The 24,998-nt window shown below is 40.8% G+C and overlaps 1 protein-coding gene across 5 annotated transcripts in view, besides 2 other annotated features; it reads right to left on the bottom strand.

Moving 5' to 3' along the window:
- Nucleotides 1-24,998, bottom strand: part of CACHD1 (cache domain containing 1) — a 222,925-nt gene that overhangs the window by 183,774 nt on the left and 14,153 nt on the right. For 2 of the 5 annotated variants that reach the window (NM_001293274.2, XM_011541862.2), the window contains exon 1: nucleotides 2,793-3,379. The exons of the other annotated variants lie outside the window; for them this stretch is intronic. Coding sequence is in view for 1 of the 2 variants with exons in the window: in XM_011541862.2 (XP_011540164.1) it covers nucleotides 2,793-2,797 (5 nt within the window). In the remaining variant the exon portion in view is untranslated. Of the gene's footprint in view, nucleotides 1-2,792; nucleotides 3,380-24,998 lie in introns of those variants that run through there. 5 annotated transcript variants of the gene reach the window in all.
- Nucleotides 4,021-4,520: an enhancer, noted in NCBI's record as "H3K4me1 hESC enhancer chr1:64970443-64970942 (GRCh37/hg19 assembly coordinates)". NCBI's record gives its function as "activates a minimal SCP1, AML or CMV promoter by ChIP-STARR-seq in primed H9 embryonic stem cells {active_cell/tissue: H9 hESC(primed)}" and the evidence as "EXISTENCE:reporter gene assay evidence [ECO:0000049][PMID:30033119]".
- Nucleotides 14,737-15,382: an enhancer, noted in NCBI's record as "OCT4-NANOG-H3K27ac hESC enhancer chr1:64959581-64960226 (GRCh37/hg19 assembly coordinates)". NCBI's record gives its function as "activates a minimal SCP1, AML or CMV promoter by ChIP-STARR-seq in primed H9 embryonic stem cells {active_cell/tissue: H9 hESC(primed)}" and the evidence as "EXISTENCE:reporter gene assay evidence [ECO:0000049][PMID:30033119]".

Genomic DNA, 24,998 nt, shown 5'->3' with positions numbered 1-24,998 from the left:
CTTGCTACAAGGGGCGGGTAACACAGGCATGAAAGATGCCAAGGTAGAGGGAGTTATAGAGCCTTTTGCTAATGACAGTTCAAAGAGATGAGCAGCCCCAACCCTCACAAATAAAAGCAGAGAGCATTTTTCATCCATACTCATAGTTAGGAACAAGCTAACAGAGAAAAAAAGAGAGTATGAACTTCATTAAATTTTCAGTCCTGTGGCCCTATTGCTTTTTCTCTTATAATTAGCAATAAAAGCCTTAAAAGGAAAAAAAGACCTTTTTCCTTTGTGCTTGCCATCTGGGCAGCAAAGATGAGGGGAGTAGCAGCCAATCATAGAAAGAGAAGAACCCTGGGGGTGGGGAATGGCAGGAGACACCAAAGAAAAGAAAATGCCTGGGAGCCCTGGGCCTTTTTCAAGGATAAAAAGATGAACTAGGGAGGCAACTTATCCAGACTGCAGAAGTTGTCTTGGGCTTAAGAGTAATAAACAGCCTGCGGCAGTAAGCCAGTGTCAGACCTGGTAGTGTCTTAACAGAAGACTGAGTATGGTTCTCTAAATGCACTACGTCTCTATCTTACTTAGCCCTCTCACTCTCAGGCTTAGTGAGAGAACAACTTAGGGACTTGAGAGGAATATATCTAAATAAGGGCAGCAGGTGTTTAATGTCAATCACTGAAACAAGTTTTCCAGGACAGACCCAACTCATATGTGCTTTGCCTGGCAGGTCCATTTCATTTAAGGTAGGCATGATTATCCCCATTTTACGCATGCGGAAATTGAGGTTTAGACAGATAAATTTGCTAATCCAAGGTCACACACACAAAAAAGATCATATGCTCTCATAGCCCCTGCTAAATCCAGTGCTATTTCTTCCACCAGAAGCTCTCACCCACCTTCACACCAGCATTTGTGTAGTGCGTTACACTTAATACAAGAATACCTCTCCAGGCATTCTCATGTAATTCCTATAAAAACACATCAAGAAGGTGATATGGTTTGGATTTGTGTCCCTGCCCAAATCTCATGCAGAACTGTAAACCCCAATGTTGGAAGACGGAGGGGCCTGGTGGGAAGTGATTGGATCATGTGGGTGGATTTCCCCCTTGCTCTTCTCATGATAATGACTGAGTTCTCACAAAATCTGGTTGTTTCAAAGTGTGTAGCACCTCCCCCTTCTCTCTCTTGTCCTCCTGCTCTGGCCATGTGAAGATTTGCCTGCTTTGCCCCCTCACCTTCCACCACGGTTTTAAGTTTCCTGAGGCCTCCTCAGCCACGTTTTCTGTACAGCCTATGAAACCCTGAGCCAATTAAACCACTTTTCTTTATAAATTCCCCAGTCTCAGATATTTCTTTACAGCAGTGTGAGAATGGACTAATACAGAAGGAGATGAGACACATTCATTTTTCTACTTTAAGATTTAAAGATGAGGACATGGAGGCCCCAACTTTAAATGATTTGCCCAGGCAACATACTGGTGGTTTGAACTCAAGTCTTCTGACTCCTAAAGGTGTATTTTTTCCACTAAATATAACATTTTTGACAAATCAAAAAGAAGCTATTTTCTGTCTGAGCTGAATTTCCATTCTCACTCTCAGCTCCTGAAAACTTATTCTTACTTCTTCCTGGCTCGTGTTCCTAATACAACCTGAGTTTCCACATTCTCTATCTCCTGGGCTGTCTGCGGATTCCTACTCCAGTTCTCCCATTTTCCTGCCCCTGCTTCTTCCCTGGAGGCTTTAGAGCCCATGCTCCACCTCTACCTATGCAAGATGTTCTTTTTACACCCCAGAAAGTAAAATAACAACAACATCAACACAAGTAAAAAACATCACCTTTCATCTCAACATTAACCAGGCAGCCCACTAGTTCAACTCAATTGGCATATGCTGTGGTCTCAACTGTGGCCTCCAACTCAAGGACAAAGCAAAGATGGGTAGGGCAGTCCCTGGCCCCAAGGAATGTATAACATAGTGGGGCAGGCAGATTGGATACAACCAACTATAAGGCAAGACTCCAGTAAGGAGTACAACAGAGGCACGAAAGTAGGGTAAAAGGAACCCTTTCTAGCTGGGAGAAATGAGGAGAGGTTCCGGGGAGGTAGCTGTGATCCTAAAGTCAGTCTCCTGGTCCTATCCTAACACATCAAGAACAACCTTCAAAGCATGATGTGTGAAACACATACTAATTTACGAGTCATGAACTTCCAAGGCCTTTTTCCTTGGGACCTCAAAATATTCACATCTCACAAGAGATGGTAGAGTTTATCATTAATCTCGTTTTACAGATAAGTTGAAATCCCTACCTAACAACAGTCACAAAAACAACTGAAAAGCAAATTCAGCTCCTATCTACCAAAGGTTTTCAATCACTTTACAACTATAGGTTCCTAACTGTTCCAAAAAACATGCTCTAATGGGGGAGCTACTTGAACGAAGAACAGGCAATTTGATGTATTACACAGAAAAACGCAAGTGAAAATACCGAACAGCTTTAACTGTATTTAAAACAATTTTCTAGGTACTCTTTGAACATCTTCTCTAAACACAGTAAGTAACGGGCAAGAACAAAACCGTGACACAAGATACACCAGATACTTAGCATAAGAATCACGTCCTCTGAATCTTTCTTGACACATCCACTTAATTCCAGCTAGGAAAAAAAACACGTATTTTCTCTCAGTATACCCACTACAACCTGCCTGGTTTTGACTCCTGGCTCTGCTGTCATGAGCATGTGGCTCTGAGTCATTTAATCTCTGTCCCTCCATAATCCTCCTCTGCATTAAAATAACAGTACTTACCTCATTGGTGGTTGGGAAGATCAAACAAAGTAATACACATAAACTGTTTGGAACACTGCCAGACACCTAGAGAGCATTCAATAGGCCGTCGTTGAGTGTGGTTGTGAGGATTACACAAGATAACGCAGGTAAGAGTATTTAGCACTTAGCAAGTGCTCAATAAATGATGGTTCTATCACCTGTCTGCATCCCTGAAGAACTTTGGCCTCTCTGAATTTTTTATTTCTGGAGCCCAGCAAAACGCCAAGCACAGCGGCAGTGCTTATTAAAAGTTCAATGAATGTGTGGCAGGTGGCAGTCCAGTCTGACAGGTGAAGCCCATCGGCAGTTCCTGGTCGGCCTTGCTCGCACCTGGCACTTAAGAAGGCGTGCAGACTGCAATGACTGGGCAGTTCCTCCACACACCATCGGATTTTGCGTGGGGCTACCATTTCAACCTTGGTTGAAAATAAAATGCAGGCCAAGGCAGGCAGGTAGAAGTGGAAGGGATGTGGAGGTGGCGACCCGGGGTTTGCAGGGCAAGAGGAGTTGAAGGGGCAGGCGTGGAAGACAAAGGGGCAGAACAGCGAGGGGAGAGACAAGCGGGCGGCCGGGGACGAAGCGGGGGACCCGGCGGGGCGGGGCGGGGCGGGGCGGGGCGAGGCCGGGGAACAAAGAGCTGCCTCGCGGGCCGCGGGGTCCTGGCGACCGGGAGGAGGGTCAGGGAGAAGGCAGACCGGGGAAGGAGGGCGCCCGGAAGGCGGGGCGGGGCGCAGCCAAGAGGGGGAGGGGCGGCGGGGTCCAGGGGGATGGTCGGGCGTGGATGGGGTGCGCCCAGGGAGGGGGAAGAGGTGGAGGTGTTGGGGTTCGCCCAGGGAGGGGGAGGAACGGCGGCATAGGGTGTGCCCAGGGAGGGGGAGGGGCGGCGGGGCGGGGTGTGCCCCAGAGGAGGGGGCGGGGCGGGGCGCGGCCCGGGGGCGGGGAGGTCCCTTCTGGCTACAGCGATTTTATGCACCTAATCAGGCTCCTGAGCTGAGGGCCTTCGCTGAGCCGCTCTCCGAGGCCCAGGAAAGCCCGCAGCCTCCAAGGGTGCAGCAGGAGGAATGTCCCCTCCCCTCCCCTCCCCTCCAGACCTCGCAGCATAGTGACAGTTGCAAGACGAGCAATAAGGAGACAGCCACCCTGACAGTAATGCCTGTGGCTCCCGGGGCTGAGCAGGTACCAGTACAGGGGCTCCCCAGAGGCTCTTGACTGCCCTCCTGTATCTTGTTCCTTTCCATCTGCACTGGGGATGGTGGCCTTGGGAAAACAAAAGCAGTTCCTGCACGGTCATCCGGAGCTTAAAATTGGGTGGTGGTATAATAAAAAGTTACCTCTATACCTCTAGTTTCACACCAAGTGAGATAAAGTTTAGAAGAAATCTGAACTACATCCAGAAAATAAATGTTCTTCTGGGTGAGGAAGAAAAAAATTATTTCCAGAAAAAAGTTTGGAAGTCTTGGTCTCAAAGACTGCTGTTATCAATATCAAAATATCAATTCATGGAAATGAAAATATAAACAAAAACTATCACCATTTCTTGAACAGCCACTGTGTGCTCCTGGTGTACATCCTCGCACCGTCTTCACAATCCATTCAAACATCTGATCAGTGTCTCAATCAGATAGGCATAGATAGCACTACACTGCCGGCTTTGTAAAAGGGTTGCAGGGAGGTCCCAGGCCTCATAGAACTTGCAGTCCACCTCAAAGTAGGTACAATTTGCAAAGGAGGGGATTTACAACAGGTACGTTGCCCATGAGTATGCCCAGGTCAGTATATCTTTCCATTATACCATAGTGGAAGATATATTTATTTATTCTTCCTAAATATAGTAGAATTTCAGTCTTAACATCTGTTTCTACTCCCTTGCTTAGGAAAGCAAAATGAAACCAAGCAGAGGTACCTATATACAAAATGAAAGAATTAAACCCAACAGGTAAATCCAACTAATGGAAAACTGACGAGAGAATTCTGGTACACCCAAAAGAGAAAGGTTGAGACTTGCTAGAAAATTCATTAAGTCAGAGACTGTGTTCCTCAAGAAACAGTTCTAATGCATACCATTAAGTTCCAGTGATTAAATGTTGTGTCACATTTAAGTAAAATAGGTGTCTTCTCCTTTTAAGACATTTTCAGCAGCTGGGTGCAGTGGCTCATGCCTGTAATCCCAGCACTTTGGGAAGACAAGGCAGGTGGGATGGTTTGAGCTTAGGAGTTTGAGATCATCTTGGGCAACATGGCAAAACCCCATGTCTGCAAAAAATACAAAAATTAGCCAGGCATGGTAGCACACGCCAGTAGTCCTAGCTACTTGGGAGCCTGAGGTGGGAGGATCGCTAGAGCCCAGGAGGTGGGGGTTACAGTGAGCCATAATTGCACCACTGCACTCCAGCCTTGGTGACAGAGTGAGACCCTGTCTCAAAAAAATAAAAATATTTTCACCTTTTCATGTGCATCTCCATTGTGTCCACCAGGATTACCTTTATATTAGAAGAGGTCAGTGCTTGTCCTACATTTCCAAAGTAGGCAGAATGACAAGAGCTATTATATAAGGACTATCCCCAACCTCTTCATTTACAAAAGGAAGGGAAACAGCGTCACAGGTCACTATGCTGATGGCTAGCAAGGCCTAGAATTAGAGCCCAAAACAATGATCTCCCCATTAGTATACAGGAAGTTTTACCCATTAGTCTAACAAATCCCTGGCTTATTCACATTTAATTCTCTAAAGAAGCTCTACAAAATATAAACAATTGGAACCTACATTTATGTATGTATGGGGGGGATCATCAGTAAAAACACTTCTAACTGTATGCCTCAAATTGTTTAACATGAGTTAAACAAAACTTTTTCATCCTTCTAACAAAACTCTTCAGGTCTACCCACCATGCTACACAGCATTTGAAAATGTTGACCGAAAAAGTAGTCTAGCAAGTACTCTCTTTATTCACATGTAAGAATTCATCTTAAAAATATGAAATCATACTTTGTATGAACAAAGATGATTCCTAAAAGGCATGACTTAGTATCTTGGCTCTGTAAATTTTTGGAGTTTTGTTTTGTTTTGTTTTGGGTTTTCCATGTAAATATATTCTGTATTTTCTCTAAAGTAAACCAGTGCTTTGACAGATTTTAGATTTTTCCCCTTAACTAAAGGCATTATTCAATTTCAATGTCCTTGGAGTGTTTTATCTGGGGATTAGACAACTGTACCAAAACACAGCTGTTCCAGTTTTTTCTCCTTTATTTTTCACATTAAAAAACTCCCACTATCAGCCAGTCCAATTAGTTACTCACTATCAAAAGCCGGCTTTGGTCTTTCATCTTCTGGAAAACTGGATCCAAGTGACAGGGTGTCATGGAAACTGTATCTTGGGTCATTTCCTGTTTCAATTGTTTAACCACAAAAAAAAGTTCGGCTCTATCAGATGGAAATTAATGAATACTTGCTGTTGCCTTTTGAAGAGCATGCAACTAAATAAAAAAAGTAATTATCCTTTTTGACCAAGTTTTTCCAGCAACCCCAGGGAATACAGGGAGATCAATGCACCCAAAATGGGAAAAGAAAAATACTTCGATGCAATGAAACAAAGCCTTTTTCCGTTCAGTTTCCATAATTCAGTGGTCAGTTTTAAGGCTGCCACTTGGGTTTGGGAAATGTAACTACAGGTTAAGTGGTTTTAATTGCAGTTAACTTTATTCATACTCTTCTACTTACCACAAATTTTCAACCTCTCCTCACCTACTTCACCTAAATTTTGACATTAATTAGACAGAGTTGGTATTTTCCTTTTTAACCTGAAATTCCCCCACCATAAGAGAATGTGCAATAGAAACAAAAATTATAATCTAAAAAGATTTTATGCTGTACCTATTATCTGAAAACAACACACATGCACACACACACACATAGATGCATGCACATACACATACACACACAGAGAGAGGGAAAAGTAGAGCTTAAAGCTTACAAGCAATACCAAGCAGGCACATGTGTTTTTTAGGAATGAAGTCGTGGCTGGAATTCAGTAATAATGAGCCCCTCAGTGATCTAATGTACACCAGTGTACATTATGGATGGAAACAGAGTGCCAGACAGGACAATGGGGAACTCAACCAGTGTTTAATATGTTCAGCTCTGTCTAAATAACTGTTGGCAAAAAATGTGGAAGCAATACAACAAATCAATTTTAGGGCTCAGGAGGATTTGCTCAAATAAGACAGCTATGAAGTGTACATTACAGGATAAGTTCACAGCTCCATTGTGGGAAAGGCATCTACTTGCAATGTTTTCTGTCCTGTTTAAGTTGTTATATGTCTTCTCTATTCAAAACAAGGAAAAATCTCTGTTGCTTCTTTTCCTTAGCCTTTAAAAACAACAACAACTGGGAAAACATCCAAAAACAATTAACCTTAAATATTATGTAAAGTAAAGCTAAGTCTTCTATCATATCCAACTTGCTGTTGGGGAATTTCTATGGAGAAGAAAGTGAAGGGGAAAAAGAGAACACTTTTCAGTAATGACACCTGAGTTCTAGACCTTTTACCTATCATTTAATTACTCTGTTTATTTAATAGGTGCCAGCAAAGAGGCATCTAGGCCAGGCTCAAATCTACACGTAAGCCCCTAAAAGATCAACTGTGTTTTATTCAAAGTGAGATGGAGCTGATGATTTTCAAGTGGAAGTCACTTCCATTTCTTTTTCATCAGCCTTGGAAGAAAGTGGAATAGCCATCCTTCTACACCTTGCAGAGAGAAAGGTACTGATAGGTAGTATTTCAAGGTGTTTGTATTACACTTACTATGGTTGGGTATTTTTGTGCACAAAAACACCAGAAGTAGAAGTAATTTCACCAGAAGCAGTTTTTGCCAGAAGAAGATGTAATTTCTAGAAACTGTTCAGATAGTATTTTCTTATAGAAAAAGTAGTTAAACTATGAAATTAACTGCTGAAGGCATCAACACAAAAAGGCATAAATCAGTTCAAAGAGGGGAACCTAGACTAAAATAAATCCAAGAATACAGCTGCCAATCTGACTGGAAGGCCTCTGGTCATGATGAGTGAAGTTGGTTTTATCCCGAGAGAAATGATACATAAAATAAAGATAGAGCTGGTAGAGGGAGAGGTTGTGAACTCCAAGAGAGGCAAGAAATAGTCAGTGTATCAAAACCACTTTATTATTCTGGCTATAACTATTTTTCTTTTCACTTATTTCCTAGAAAATATAATGGTAGTAAGTTCATTGCACTTTCCTCTTAATTTCTTCTGTATTAAAATGCAGGAGGAGGGAATAGAGAATCTTCACATTTGCAAGAAGTAGCTTAATTATATAATAATTATAATAAACTGTTACTATCTGCATAGCAATAGGTTAAAATAGGTTAATTTTCTCTCTGTCTCTCCTTTTTTTTTTTTTTGAGACAGAATCTCACTCTGTCACCCAGCTGGAGTGCAATGGTGCAATCCTGGCTCACTGCGACCTCTGCCTCATGGATTCAAGCAATTCTCCTGCCTCAGCCTCCCAAGTACCTGGGATTATAGGCACTTGCCACCACGCCCAGCTAATTTTTTGTATTTTTAGTAGAGACGGGGTTTCACCATGTTGGCCAAGCAGGTCTCGAACTCCTGAGCTCAGGTGATCCACCCGCTTTGGCCTCTCAAAGTGCTGGGATTACAGGCATGAGCCACCGCGTCCGGACTCTCTCTCTCTCTCTCTCTCTCTCTCTCTCTTTTTTTTTTTTTTTTTTAAGAGACAAGGTCTTGCTACGTTGCCCAAGCTGGTCTGGGTCTTGCTGTGTTGCTCAAACTGGTCTCAAACTCTTGGCTTTAAGGGATCCTCCCGCCTCGACTTCTTCAAGTGCTGGGATTACAAACATGAGCCACTGAGCCCGGCCGCAGTAGGTTAATTCTTATAATTTGTGTATGAACTTAAATACTGGATTTTATGAAAGTTCTATTCTGGGTTTCATTTGTTTTGTTTGCATGCCCAATCAAGGATACTATTTAGAACATAGATATTTATTAGGCATGTGAGAAATGGGAAAGTTCTTCGAAGATTATAAAAAGGCATTCTTTTTTTGCAACACCAAAAACTTCATTCCCAACAGGCACATATGTTGAAGACACAAGGCCAAACACTACTGGCAAATGAAAAACATACCATTGTGAAACAGGTATGTGTATGCTGCCTACTGGAATTCTCAAGTGCTCTCCCATAGACTCCAGCTCCCTTGCAGGTAGGTGGAGTCATGTGACCAGTCATGGCCAATGGGCTGATCAGAAGTAACCTGTGTCATTACCCAGCCAAAGCCTACATGAATGAGGGTGAGCTCTCCATGCCTCTCTTGCCCTCTTGAGGCAAATCTTAACGTCACAGTTTGAGATGGTAACATCTCAAGATAGAAGAAGGCCACATCAATCCTTAGAAGACATATTAAACCAGAAAGATGTGTAGAATCACTGAAATAATAAGGATTCATTTGTTACCACAGCCTATCCTCAGCCAGGTGTTCTTAGCTTCTTCTGTGTTACACAGCTCAGGGACAGGGCAGTGAAGTATGAGAATCTCCCAGAATCATATGTTTAAATGCATAAAACACACAAGATTGTAAAGAACACCCACTATAATTTTTTAAAGCTGTAACATAGTAATATGTGCTTCTTTATTATTAATCAACAACATCTCTAATGATGGGTCTAACAACTACTGTAATTTCAAAGTACTGAAGATTATGCCATTTCAAGTTATCTGTAGAAATCTACAATTATATATGAAATATTTGTTTCTGTGATAAAGTTCTCCATGGGCTGCTAATACTGTTAGGCTCTGTTGTCTGCAATGTAATGGAAAGAAATGATAGATTTTAGTTAGAGGTTTGTGTTGTAATTTTTTTCCTCATCAAGTTCACGGACTCCTTGAATTCTGCGGAGCCCAGAATAAGAAGCTCTGAGTTTCACCATCTCCTAATACAATCATACTCTTAACTTCTCAGGCAAAAGTTCTACTGAGCTCCCTAGGGTTGCATGTTTTGCAAAGTGTGTGGCAGACTCCTTTCTGGCCTGTCTTCTGCCATTGAGTTTCAGTCACTGATTTTGTGTACTGGCAAACAGTTTTGAACATGAATGCAGTGAACTAAGGAAGCGTATTGTTCCAGTTGCTAGAATCCAATTTTATGGAGGCTTAGGTGCCTTTAACGCAATGGTGAAGAAAACTGATAAGAATCAGCCCATAAGGGGCTGGTCAAGTCCTCTAACATGATAAACATCATCCAGTCTGGGAAAAACAACCAACAGTTGTACAAAATGCTGCTGGTAAAACACCGTGTCCAGAGGCTTGTCATGACTTCAAGAAACATCAAGACACCTGGAGATTGCTGATACGAGATGCTGGAGCCGCTGTATCAGAATGCTGTCCAGTTCGCAGCTGGTCAGCACTACTTCAAGAATGTATACTACCCCAAACTAACTGGGAAATCAGTTCTATTTAATAAATCTAGGAAGACTGGCTACAGCAAGGCTGAAATAATTAATACTGTTTTAGATGGTTCTCCATTCTGCAAGTTGCAAAGAGAGAAATGACCAATGTACTTTAAGCACACGATTATTGCACTTTCTTTCTGGTCATTTTCCCAGGGGAAACCACCAAGTCAGCCCAGCAAGGTAGTCAACACCTTACTCAAGAATAGGAGACAGAGTAGACAACTGAGTTGTAGATGTCAGTCCTGATAGAGAGACAAGAGATCAGAATATCAAGAAGTATTTGAAATTAAGACTCTGCATGCAAGACTTGAAAACCAAGAAGCTGGGGCTTGAGACTCAATCTTTTTTCACATTTCAAATACTGAGAGATGCTGTAGTGTGGTAGAAGTGCCACTGGATCAAAAGTCATGAAACTGAGCTTTTCATCTAGGCCCCATCACGAGTTATTTCAGCAAACATGGGCAAGAAGCCACATTGCGCTGAGCTTCAGATTCCTTCTATAAGGAAGGCGCCTCCCTGCACAAAAGTAAAGATGCAGTAAACTTTAAAAATCTCAGAAATATGATGATACAAGGAATATAATCAAATACAGTTTTAAACTAAATGTTTTAGAAAACACAGTATTTCAGTTTCGAATAGTGAAAAAATAAAGAGAATAAGTAGTTCTAATATGCTGGAGCACGCACTGTATTTGGTACTGTACATGAGTGATTTTACAAGTTGCATGAGTTAGCATCTATATGCTGTTGTGAGTCCCCTATGCCTTCTCTCTGGTAGCTCTCTCCGAGCTTTGGTGAACCTCTTGTTTAATTGTCTGTTAGCTCCATGAGGATATGCCACACTCTTTTGTTTTGTTTTAGGAACAGAGTCTTGCTCTGTCACCCAGACTGGAGTACAGTGGCACGATCTCAGCTCACTGCAACCTCCGCCTCCTGGGTTCAAGCAATTCTCCTGACTCAACCTCCTGAGTAGCTGGGATTACAGGCACGCACCACCACGCCCAGCTAATTTTTGGTATTTTCAGTAGAGACAGGGTTTCACCATGTTGGCCAGGCTGGTCTTGAACTCCTGACCTCAGGTGTTCTGCCCACCTTGGCCTCCCAAAGTGCTGGGATTACAGGCATGAGCCACCACACCCAGCGTGCCACAGTTTTGTTTAAGGGTATATTGCCCCACTGTTGGAAGACTCTGGAAAGGTTTTCTGGAGAAAGGAGGAATGCCCAAATGCCTGTCAAAGGGCTTGGGATCTAGTCTGTGCTCACTCTTGGCCCCTGATAAACTCCCTCTGCCCCTTTTTGATATGCTGATGTGTCCTGTTGTTATTTTGATTATATTCCCGCCAGAGGCTGACTCATTTACCAGGAGAACAAGCCAGGGTTTAATGCCTGCTGATTCCTGGCTCTCTCTGGGGTATTTTTTTTCCTGAACTATATGACTCCAAATAGCTGCAGTTCTCATAACCATCACATTAATTTCAACAGGCCTTGAAATCTCCTAATTCTTTCTGGTTAAGGGGCTCTTCCATCTTTCCCTACTTTCCTTGCCAACCATTGCTGGCTATAATTAATTGAAAGTGAAATTTCAAAACTAGGAAGGACTGTCTTTATTTCCCCCAGCCCACAAGCACAATAAGCAGATGCAAGGCCTGTGTCCTTTTCTTTATCTACCCTAAAGCCTCCCAAGGCACGATGGAAGCACAGAGTAGGGACTGAAAAAATGTTAGCCGAGTGACTGGATAATCAAAGGATGACCACTGCAAATCAAAGCCCTGTAGCATCCTTGGCAGAAAGAAAAAAGCTCTGCCTTCATTTTAGTGTTGGAGGCACTATAAAATTACAGACTATGTCTCTTTCTCACTCTTTTTTTACTGCAAAGCTAATAATCAGTAGCCAATGGGCTAATTCCTCGGCATTTTTTTGAAGAAAAAGTAAACATGATTTTTTTTTTTTAAGGACCAAATTCCCACCCTGCTTTGAAACATAAATCTGAAGACCCCTCGGGTTAAAAATGACAGCTAGACTCCTTTAATCTTGAAAATGTTCTCTCCATGGAAACCTTAAGGACAGGAAACCACTTAGGCAAAGCTTTCTTTTTTCTTTTTCTTTCTTTTTTTTTTTTTTTTGAGACAACTTCTAAGGAAAATCTAGGTTTTGAGGAAATTGGGCTTCCATGCACGAGTGTCCTGTAGGAAGGCAGTCCATGTCATGTGACTTCATTGACCCATAAATTGACCCATAAATAAAGCTTTCCGAGGTTGGCTCAGCTGGAAGAGACTTTGACTCACTTCACCTCTCTAACAGATTCTTATTCTCAATTCCCAGTGCACCGTCTCCACTATTAAGTTTCATGTTAGGTAGAACACACTCTAGTTTCACCCAAAGGCTGTGAAGTTTGTAAGCTATAAGTTTCAAGTAGGATAAGAACCTCAAGTGGGATGCCATTGGCTACAAGACTGGAAAAATTTGAGTCAGCAAATAATCCTAGAAAATTAGACTGGGAAGGTTGTTTACTAGATTATAGGAGGAAACTAGCACAGAGAAGCTAAGTTATTAGCTCAAGCCTTCATCATATATATGGCCAGATGTAGAATAATTTTTCCTACCTCAAAGATGACTAGATTTTTCTTGACACTCCAGCACATCTCCTCTTAAATATTCTAGGTTGGCTGAACTTAAATACTACAACTATTACTACTACTAATAATAAGCTAAAAAGCAATCAAAATATTTTCAGTAAGACTGAGGTGGGGCAATTTTGCACAATTTGACATCCTTTATAGAACCTTGAGCCTACTACCAGAAGTGAAATACACCACAAATTTCAAAGGATAGGCCTGAATGTAGTTCAAATAAGCACTAAACATACATCAAGTCACTTTCACTACCACTCATGTTCTAGGATGCATTGTCTGGGACATGGGCCAGGTTGGCAAACAAATCATTATAAAATGCAAAGGTATTAAGTGCCCTCTTGCCTTTGGCAGCACATTCAAAGCTAATCAAATATATTATAATAAAACGAAAATATAGCTACCAAGGTCCCAGCCAACAAAGGAGAAAAGTCCATACATGTTCTTTTTTCTTTTAATGGATTAGATATTCCAACTTTTGTTGTATTTCTTTGTGAAAGACACGCCTGGGAAGAAATGGGAAAAGCAGGAGACACAGCCATAACTTGAAGAAAAAGAAGAAAAAAAAGTAGGCTTAGATGAAGAAATTTGAGGACTTTGGTGCTAGGGCTCTTTGAAAACTCATTACAGCAACTCAGGTTCAAAAAGGGTCAAAAAAAAAAAAAGTAATTCTCTTAGCTTGGAGTCAAATAAAAAGCACTGTATTGCTCTCTTTCTGCCCATGTTTATCTATCATTTCATCTCTCTCCCTATCAAGAACTGAGGGCAAAGTTTATCTGCCAACTTCAATCCAGGCAGACAGACCAAGTACATTGGGGACATACCCTTTTGTGTGGTCATTCACACTTGGAAGATAAGGGAGAACTTAGTTTTTCAAGTACATAAGAAGAGATGGTAGCCATTTATTTCAACAGAGAAGGTCAAAAAGAAATAAATTAAGATTATATAGGAGAGCTTTTCCTAATACATGAGAAAAGAATTCCAGAATATAGCATAGACACTGTATACTGTAATAAACTTACCTAAGGCTGGAATTTAGCATTCTATCCTCAGGTTTTCTTTCCTTTTCTCTTTTTCTTCCTCTAATAATGATGACAATAATACTTTGCATTTTCATTCATTTCCAGTTTTCAAATTAATTCTATATATATTCATACATTCCATTCTCCCTAAGCAGGGGAGGGGAGGTTGGTTTCCAATACATGCTTACTTGGAACAGAGGAATGATCTAAACAAATGTGTTTTCAACCACTGGATCTGTAAAGTATTTCCTGTTGACCGAACTGTAACTAATACCAGTTCCTCTCATAACCCATGCCCATATTCTCCAGAGCCCCCCACACAAAGAGACCACTACACAAAGAAACAAGATTTATGCCAACAGCAAATATTATGGGGCTCACTAAATGCTGAATCAATTAATGTAATAATCCTAAGTGCTCAAGCAGAAGCTGACATGGGTTTCAACCCCACATCTACCACTTCGTGGCTTTCACATCTTAGATAAGTCATTTCTCTTTCTGAAACTAGTAGCTATCTGCATTAGAAATAGAACTCTAACCCTTAGCATAATGCCTGGCACATAAAAAACACTAAAAAAAGTGAGCACTATTTTAAGTTCTACTTACCAATAAAACGTGGTTCTTAGGAGATTTTCCCCCCTTTCCTAGCAATTTAAGCAACCATATCCTGTCAATTTAAGCAATAAAGAATTCCACTAGCCTTGTGGTTTCACTGGTAGGTAACAGGTAGCAAATAAAAGCAGCTACTACATGGTTAAATTCTAGATTGGAGCTTCCAAATCAGACTAAAGAAAGAGAAATGTAAATTCTTTGTCGTTAGAACCATCCCAAAGCTTTGGGATGTTGTTGGGGAGCTCGAGAATTGCTATCCTATATAAATAAATCTCGTCCGTGACAACTGCTGGAGATATGTCACTAACACAGCTTGATTTGTCCACATTTACCAATGCAGAGATTTCTTTCAAATTAAGAGAAAACAGGGGAGGGAAGATAGTTAGAAAAGATGAGAAAATTTCATGTGTCTTACCAGGCAAGGCCAGAGCCACAGTCCCACTTTACAAGCCCCTACCTGGTCTAAAAGAAAAGTTATCTAAAGCATTAACTAAGAGGATAAGAAGCCACCATTGTTGTGGGCTTAAAGTGATCCACTTTCACTAGGGCTCAGAGAAGTGGGGCCCTCATTGCAAATGCAAAGTCCCCAGCTGGGGGTAAGAAGAGAAAATGTTAAGATGCTCAGCTCTGAAGTGCCAATACCCTGGTCTCCACATTCCAACGCTGGCCGCCTCCTCCCTCCCTTGTCCCACCGCTCCCTCCCATTATTCTGGAGCAGGTCCTTCCCAGCTCTGCCATTCGGTGACAGAGAGACTTGGGAAGCGCCCCAGGAACTGCTGAGATGGAGAAATACACAAAGGCTCCCTTCCACAAAGCATTCTTTCACAGAGGCAGCCGTGTCTATTAAATAGGTCCCCTTAATGTGCATACACTTCTATAAGGAGATTATGAGAACCACGAGCTCGCTAAATCAGCCCCACAAAATGTGTGTAAATCCACTGCAGGGAGGAGAAAAGGTGTGTGTGGCAGGGAGGAGGGAGGATTTAAAATTAGTGGCAGGGGGCCTCCACTCTTCTTGGTAATTCCCTGGGGAAAAGAAGGTATAGACAAAACTGTCCAATGAGGCTGCCACAACCCCTGGGTTGAGCCGTTTGGTATCTGCACAATTCCTTTCCTCCACTTGCATTGTTATATTGTCCAGCTATGGGCCATAACTCTTGCAAAAATATTCCTTCCTCTAAGTTGTAAGAAGAGAGGCATAATAGTTCCCTATGTGGTAATATGCACTTTCCACAGTCTCCCAAATCTTTAGAAATAGGAAGCACAAAATGTAACAAGTAATTTTCCAATAAAATGTGTGATGCATTTTCTCAAAATAGGTAAGTGAAGTGCTCGACTATATATTTATTAAGCCCCTCATGGGTCATCACACTGGCTTCATGAAGGATTCAGCTTTTCACCTCATTATTTCTTCATGATCACCTCCTCCTGGAGAAGAATTAAAGTTACACAAAAAGCAAGTTTACCCATAGTAATAAGTGGAATGTCCTTTTATTTACCTAGCTATACATAAGATAAAATAAAAAATCTTTCACTCAAAAAGCATTTCCAAACATTTATAAGATATGCAAATGATTTCCCAGTTCACAAACGGATTTTAGAGACATTTCGTTTGATGTGACAACAGCTCTGTGACACAGATATTAACAACTCCCGTGTTACAAAGTCCAGAGAGATTAAGTGGAGCCCCAAGTCTTTCCTTCCAAATTCATTCATTCATTCCTTCAGCACTTACTGAGGGCCTAGTTTTGGCCTGGGCACTATTGAAGGTAGGGATTCAGGGAAAGCAGATGTAGTCTCTACTGCTAAGTATCTCACAAGGGCAACCCAAGCTTAGGTGTAAGAAAACAGGCATCTTTCTAGAGAAGGCTATGTCAGAGCTGAATTTTCAAGGATAAATTTCCTGTTCTTTTCACATCAACATGTCCTCCATGAATCACCAGTATTAAACTAGGCTAAGAAAAAATGAACCTGATAATCACCTTTGTGCCAGAAGACAAAAATAACTGGACAGGAAGCCCAGGCAGTCCCAGTGGCGGTGCTGTCTTTTACACTGACGTTAACTCTAACGATCAGCGGAGTAACCGCACAGCGCTGCTGGGCACCTGGAGCTTATTGTTTCCGTGTGGCATATGATGAAGTATCAGAACGGGGAGGAGTATATCTCCAAGAAGGAATGTGATGAGCAGAAAAACTCATCCTGTGAGATTGGCCTAGAGAGATCTGAAGCCAGGAGCCATTTGGTCTTGTCCAATGGCATTAATGTACCCACAGACAAAGGCCAAAGGGGACATGGAGGCCAGAGCTGCTGGTCAACGGCTTGTTTTAAGAAAACAATAGGGGGACCCAACTCCATGCTATCAGAATAAAGGCCATCCTTCCCCGTATTTTTCTCAAGTTATACAAGTGCCGTTATTCTTCAAGCAACAAAGAATTCCACTAGCCTTTTGCTAAGGATAAAACATTTCCAAAATATAAGTTGTTTAAACTGCAGGTATAGAATAATTTCTTCAACTGTCTTCTTTTTCCCAAATGAATAATGCTACCTAGATGAAAACAATTTTTTTCTTCACCTTTTATTCCAAATTTCTTTTTTTAAAAAAAGCTTCCATCTTTTAAAATTCAAACAGAAATACTGAGGGAAGTTCCAGTTTCAAACCATCTTTTGTCAAGAAAAAAAACTAGTGAAAGGTACTTTCAGGAAATCAAGTACAGTATATGATTTCAACACAGCAAAGCTAGTGTCTCACTGTTAATTTTTATTAATAAAAAAAAAACAAAAAACAAACAAACAAAAAAAACCGCTGGGTGCAGTGGCTCACACTTGTAATCCCAGTACTTTGGGAGGCTGAGGTAGGAGGACTGCTTGAGTCCAGGAGTCTGAGACTAGCCTGGGCAAGACAGTAAGACCCTGGCTCTACAAAAAACAAAATTTTTAATTAGCTGGACATGGTGGTGCATGCCTGTAGTCCCAGCTACTCAGGAGGCTGAGGCAGGAGGATCACTTATGCATGAGAGGTCAAGGCTGCAGTGAGCCAAGCTGGGCAACAGAGGGTGATATGGTTTGAGTCTGTGTCCCCACCCAAGTCTCACATCAAATTGTAATTCTCATGTGTCAGGGGAGGGTCCTGGAGGGAGGTGACTGAATCATGGGGGTGGATTTCCCCCCTGCTTTTCTTGTGATAGTGAGTTCTTGAGTTCTCATGAGATCTGATGGTATAAAAGTGTGGCACTTCCCCCCTTGCTCTTCTTTCTCTCTCCTGCCACCATGTATAAGGCATGCCTTGCTTCCCCTTTGCCTTCCACCATGATTGTAAGTTTCCTGAGGCCTCCCCAGCCATGCAGAACTGTGAGTCAATTAAACTTGTTTTCTTTATAAATTATCCAGTCTCAGATAATTATTTATAGCAGTGTGAAAACAGAGTAAAACAGAGGGAGATCATTTCTTTAAAAAAAAAAAAAGAGAGAGAGAGAGAGGAAGCAGTCCTTGAAGAAAGGTACTGCTTTTCCCAGTGCTTTGGGTTAGTTACTATATACAGGGACCCTGGCATTCATGGACTGCATGTTTATAGTTTGGACCATTTGAGAGCAACCCCTGACCAAATTTAAGCAGGGTAACAAATTCTAGACATTATTAATATTAGTCATATCATACTGGTCTCTCGATTTTAGACAGGTTCAATTATTTATTTACTTTTTCAAAATTATTTAAGCAAAGATTTTTCTAGATTTTTATCTTTTAATTTTTACATGAGAACCCCACAGGATGGGGGGTTTTCTGAAAATTAAAGGGCAAGAGTTTTCAGTCCATGTTTGGAGAGAGAAAATGTTGCTCTGCATCTATGTTCCCACCAGCATTTGCTGACTTCCCTGAGAATAAAAGGTTATAACTGAAAAAGCATGATACAAAGTACTTTTATATAAATTCTTGCTTTTGGTCTTCACTACAACCTTTGAGGTAGGGTAAAATCCCTATTTTACAGATCAAGAAATTGAGGCTTGCTGAAGCCAAGTCACTCTGCCTTTGCACGACTCCTTTGTAATTGTTCTTAAAAGGCAAGCTATTTTTGAAACTCACTGAAGGGAGAACATGACATTAGCAAGGCATTGCACCACCCACAAAGTACATTCTCTCCCCTCAGATGTCTGAAGGGTACACACATCTTCTGAGAAGACAGAAACTCATCAGCTTGAGGAGAAAATGCCAAGTTTAAAGTGAGGCTTGTTAGAGAAGAAGCTATCACAGTTTATTAAATTAGCTTTCTCTCCCAGTGAGTGTTTGATGTAAATGGCAAGGGTTCGAAGGTCAAACAGGAAGAAGTATGTGCTTTAATTTCTCCCCCCTAGAGGTGCATGAATGTTTTCTATTAACGAAAACCCTGTAGCCAACAAATCCTAGGCTTGGATCAAACAGCCCTCCATCTTTTAAGTTATAACATCACAAGGAGACATTTCAAGAGGAAACCATGCCCAGTCAGACCTGCAGTACCAGAGAGAGGGCTGCTTCTGCCCTTTGGGAATTTGAAAAATATCTTCCTTTTTGCTGAAAATGCTTAGTGACAGACAAAAATATCCCCAAATAGTTATTCCTGATCGGTGGACAGGGGCGACATTGAAAGTGGGCAGGGGCTGAGATGGAGCTATTTGTACCTCTGGCCAAGGGAATTAGGTAACTTTGTACAACTCCCTTTGGCTAAGGCAATTAGGAATGGACATTCTGTCATCCAGCTTGGTCCACTGGGGTATGTATAAGTTAGGTAATAATAGCCAGTACTTAACTTGTGCTTAGCATGGTATGCAGTGCATAGTAAATGCTCAATAAATAGGAACTAATAATATTATAACACTTCCCCTTTTCCTCATCCTTAATAACAGGAGATTCATCCTCCTCATCTATCATCCCCACACACCCAGGACTCTTCCTGGCTGCTCAAATCTAGAAGTGAGGAGTAGAGTATAAAATTCTGAAGACTTAGCATTATGTATCCTCACATGAAGAAAAAGCAAACACTTCCTGAGACCTCTGGCATCAGGCATTGTGCTAGATATTCTTACAAACCTCATCTCATTTAACTCTACAACGACGGTGGAAACAGCCCTGATTTTTACAGTAAGAAACCTGAGGTTCAGAAGGATAGCAAAAGAGCTTGGATTAAAATCCCATTTCTCCTAAACAGGCTTTTGTGAGTTGGCCTGAGAGCGGGGTCTGCTTTTATAACCCCTCTATGTGAATGTTGTTCCAGACAACAGACTCTGAAACGAGCTTTGAAATCCAGACTCTTTGTAAACTGGGGATTCCTGGAATCATCCATATCTCTCGCCTCCTTTGGGGAAGGTCTCTGCACTACTTAAAAATGGCTTTTAGTTTGGAGGACTCACTCCTTCTTCAAAATCACATCCACAAAGCCCACAAAGGTAAGCATTCCTGGGAGATTGGAAAATGGAAAAAGTCTCAGGGCAACTGGCAGCTCAGTTATAAGACGGAAATAAAAAACCAAGTTGAAGGTTTATAGAAAACACACAGAGGAAGAATGAAGCATAGTAATTGTTTACAGGCCACTCGTGGGCTGTCTAAAAATGCCATAAATAAGAAATACAGCTTGGGACAGACTAGCTTAAAAAGAGTTAATCCCTGAAACACAATCCTCCAGGGAACATGACCCATGGGCATCCATCAAGCAAAAATCTCCACCATTGCTTATGAACAATCTCCCATGATTTCCCAGAGCTGACCCTCATCCCCTGCTGTTCCCAGCTTGCTTACTAACTAATCCCCCAGTAGAATGTTCACTCCAGGAAAGCAGGGCTGTATTTGGTTGACTTTTCTATCCTAGGTATCTACCAGAGTACCTGGCTAGTAACAGACTTTAAATATATGTTAAATAATTATTTAGTTTCTTATTTATTTAATTTTCCTGGTTAAATTGTTTCAACATGAGAATCATTTCTAATGTTTTAAAGGTGTTCTACAGTGATGTGAATGCTTTGAGGAAAAAGACATTTATAGAATTCTAATGTGATGATAAAAGTAAGAATAGCTCAATGTTTATCTACACAATTTTGATCTCAGTCTTGTAACTAAGAGAACCAGTGTATGAAAGTCAAATTCTAACGAAATGGAAGATACTTGAATTCACTGGATAAGACACACAGCTTGGCAGGCTGTATGCACAATGTGTATTGAAAGAAAGAATAATGGAGGAACATACTGTTATGTTAGTAGACCTCCCACCTCTTCATTCAATGTCAGACATTTTGGAAAATAGTACCACAATACTCTCACTTCAATAATTTATGAGCAAAAAACACTAAATGAAAATTCAACAAGAAATTTACCAGGTTACATGCAAGTCCTATATAATCTTGATTTGCATCAAATAGAAGACAAATTTTTATGAGGAAGATAAACTCAAAAAGGATGTTTTCATACTTCACCTCAATAATATTTTACTATGTCATAATGAGATTCTCTGTACAATGAATTCTCTATAACTGTCCCGAATAGATTTTAATTTTTTGGGAACTAGAAACCTCTCAAAAATCATTTATAAAAATCATGTATTTTAGTTTCACTAATTAGATGAAACAATTGCAGGCTGTTTAAAAACCACATCCAAAAGTACCAATTCTCTTTGTAACTTTTCTCAGTATCATCATAGAACAGACACAGCCAACCAGAAATTAGAGATGGACAAACAGAGATTGGTCAAAGAATTGAAACTTACAAAACATAAATCATAAAAGCATCTACCACCAGCTACTTAAAAACCCAGTTCTATCTATAAAACATATTATATTTTGAAGCTGTATCTGTAGTAATATGTTTGTAAAATGTAAACCCCACCAGCATGGACAATTCCAAACCACAATCACATCACCTCACAAAAAGTTGAAATTATATTCAAATACATAAAGTATTAGAATTGCCTTCTAAACTAATTGATTTGAATTCTTCTACTAACCAAATGAATTAAGCAGTTCCTGGCACTATGGTTGACGTAACACCACCATGCATTTCCTTTGTTTCATGTCTGTCTTGAAATTAGGTATGGCAGGTGCTAAGTAGATAATCAGTTACATTTTTTTTTTAAAAAAGGAGGTCCAGCATAACCAAGACACTAGCCAAAATGATCAAAATCATTCCCTGTAGTCTACTGCCAGTGGAATGGTAACAGTGATAATTGTAGTAAATATTGGTGTCACCTCTCTGCTATCCAAATCACTGGATTGTGTAGGTCATAAAATGTGAGTAGAATCAACCCAGCTCTAGGAGCTTTGGGCTCTAGGAGTAGGTCCTGATTGGCATAAACTAATGTAATCCCATTCTCTTGTATTCCACTAAGGTCCAATCAGAGTGAGCCCAAGGCATCCTTCAAAGCCTGGGGGGAGAAAGGTGCCCTCTTCTACTGAATGTACTCATTTTACTACAGGCAAAACCAGCCTGAGGATAAACTGACAGCCAGGGGGTGACAGAGCCAAGAGAGTAAGAGAAAAAAATGGAACCAGCCAGAGGGATCCTTCTAAGCAAAAGCCAACTCCCTTGCTCTTGTGCCTAAAACCCTCCAGTGGCTTCCCATTTCAGCCAGAACAAAATCCAAACTTGTTCTCCACAGTGATCCTATCCTCGCTCATCTTCCTTTATTCCCACCTTTCTTCAGTGCCTTCTTTCAGCCCTTCACACACACTGATCTCCTTCCCTCCACAGGTCTCTGTATGCTTTATTCCTTACTCCAGGTCCTCCTAGGCTGCTACCAATCATCATTCATGCCTCCACTCAAATATCAGCACCCCCAAGAAGCCTTCTTTGAACTCCATGTTAACCTACTTTATGTCCTTCACAGAACTGGTCAGGGTCCAACATTACATGTACTTAGCATTTACATGTTTAAATATTTATCTCCCTCTTATAAGAATGTAAGCTCCTTAAAGGCAGGGACTCTGTTCTATCCATCAGTGTGCTCCCAGCTCCCAAAGCTGTGCTTGTGCATAACAGAAGTTCAATCTACAGTTTCTTGCAGATTGACTAACTAAACCCAAGATTCTACACAGGCCACATTGACCCAAAAATCCTAAATAATGCTTTGTTTTTAGCTGAAAACAAGAACTGCAAAACTCACAGCTCTCTTGAAGATTTCTATACACCCTGGATTACACTTTATTATTTCTAATCCTGGATGTCATTATTATTTAAATAATAAAAGCAAATTTCCTTTGAGAACAATGTCACTCGAAAGAAAATCAATTTGTAGTAGCAGAACTTAGTCCACATCCGGAAGATAAAAAACACATCTGAATACGTGTGTGTGTGTATGTGTGTGTGTGTATGTGTATGTGTGTGTGTGTGTGTGTGTGTATGTGTGTGTGTGTGTGTGCGCGCGCTCTCAAAACTTGACAATAAATGAATATGTGAAAACTTTTTTGGTTATGGAAATGTTATAAAACCAGATAGTGGTGCTCATTGCATAATGCTACAAATTTAATAAAAATCATTAAATTATTTAAAAATCGATAATAAACAGCCCAATTTAAAATTAGCAAAGGTTTTGATATTTCACCAAAAAAGATATACTAATGGCAAATAGGCACATGAAAAAATGCTCAGCATCATTGTTCATTAGAGAAATATTCACTAAAACAACAATGAGATACCATTTCACACATTTTACAATGACTTATATTAAAATGACAGATTCTACCAAGTTGTGGTGAGGCTGTGGAGCAACCAGGACTTTCATACATTGCTGGTGGGAATACAAACTAATATAGCCCCTTTGGAAAATAGACTGGCAGTTTCTTATAAAGTTTAACATACACTTAACATATGGCACAGTAATCCCACCCCTAGAAATATGAAAACTTACATTCAACCCAAAACTACTATTAAACCCTGAATGTTTAATAGTAGATTTGAAACATCAAAAAACTCCCAGCCTAGGCAACATGGTGAAACCCTATCTCTACAAAAAATACAAAAATTAGCCAGGCATGATGGTGCATGTCTGTGGTCACAGCCACTCAAGAGGCTGAGATGGGAGGATCACTTGAGTCCAGGAGGTGGAGGCTACAGTGAGCTGTGATCATGCTACTGCACTCCAGCCTGGGTGACAGAGCAAGACCCTGTCTCAAAACAAAACAAAACAAAAAACTACAAAAACTCAAATGTTCTTTAATTAGTGAATGGGTAAGCAAACTGTGGCATATCTGTACAACAGAATGGTACTCAGCAATAAATAGGAATTAACTACTGATACATACAACATGGATGAATCTCAAATGCACTGTGTTAAATGAAAGATGCCAGACTCAAAATGCACACCATAATGTTTCCATTTATCCTCTTCTGGAAAAGGCAAAACTATAGATATGGAGAATATATCGATGGTTTCCAGGAGTTTCAGGTGGGGAAAGGACTGACTATAAAGGAGCAGCATCAGATAATTTTGGGGGGTGATGATACTGTTGTATATCTTGACTGTGGTGTTGGTTACATGACTGCATTTTCAAAATTCATGAAACTTCAACAAAAAGTGTATATTTTCACTCCCATTAGGATAGCTACTGTAAAACAAATAAACCAAACAAACAAAAAACAAGTATTGGTAAGGAGGGGAAGAAATTAGAACCCTTGTGCATTGCTGGTGGGAAAGTAAAATGGTACACCCACTATGGAAAACAGTACGGCAGTTTCTCGGACAAACAGAATTACCATATGATCTAGCAATTTCATTTCTGGGCACATGCTCAAAAGAACTGAAAGCAGACCCAAACAGATATTTGTACACTCATGTTTGTAGTAGCATTATTCACAGTAGCCAAAAGGTGGAAGCAAGCCAAGTGTCCATTGATGGATGAATGGATAAACAAAATGTGGCACATATACACAATGGAATATTATTCAGCCTTAGAAAGAAAGGAAATTCTGACACATGCTACGCATGGATGAACCTTGAAGACATTATGCCAAGTGAAGTCAGTCACAGAAGGACAAATGTTGTTTAATTCCACTTTTATGAGGTACCTAGAGTAGCCAAATTCAGAGAGATAGAAAGTAGAACAGTGATTGCCAGGAACTGGCGAGAGGGAGGAATGGGGCATTATTGTTCAATGGTACAGAGTTTGGGAAGATGAAAAAGTTCTAGAGATGGATGGTGATGATGGTTACACGACAATATGAAAAGTATTTAATGCCACAGAACTGTACACTTTTGGCCACGCCTAAAAGAGCTACTGGGAAATATACCTGAATTGAAGAGGAATAAGAACCCAAATTCCTCCCTTCACATCACCCTTCTGCTTGTATGCTGTCAGCCGCCTGGCTTTCTTTCAGTTCTTAAACTACACCAAGGTCCTGTCTCTCAAGACCTCTACAAAGCCTCTTCCTTCTGTTGGAATGCTAGACCCCCTAAACCGCTCCCCTGGTTGGCTCCTCCTCCTTCTGCCA

Source organism: Homo sapiens, chromosome 1 (genome assembly GCF_000001405.40).
Source record: "Homo sapiens chromosome 1, GRCh38.p14 Primary Assembly".
Classification (NCBI taxonomy): domain Eukaryota; kingdom Metazoa; phylum Chordata; class Mammalia; order Primates; family Hominidae; genus Homo; species Homo sapiens.
The sequence above is the reverse complement of the archived record's forward strand: the minus strand, read 5'-3'. Positions and strand labels throughout refer to the sequence as shown.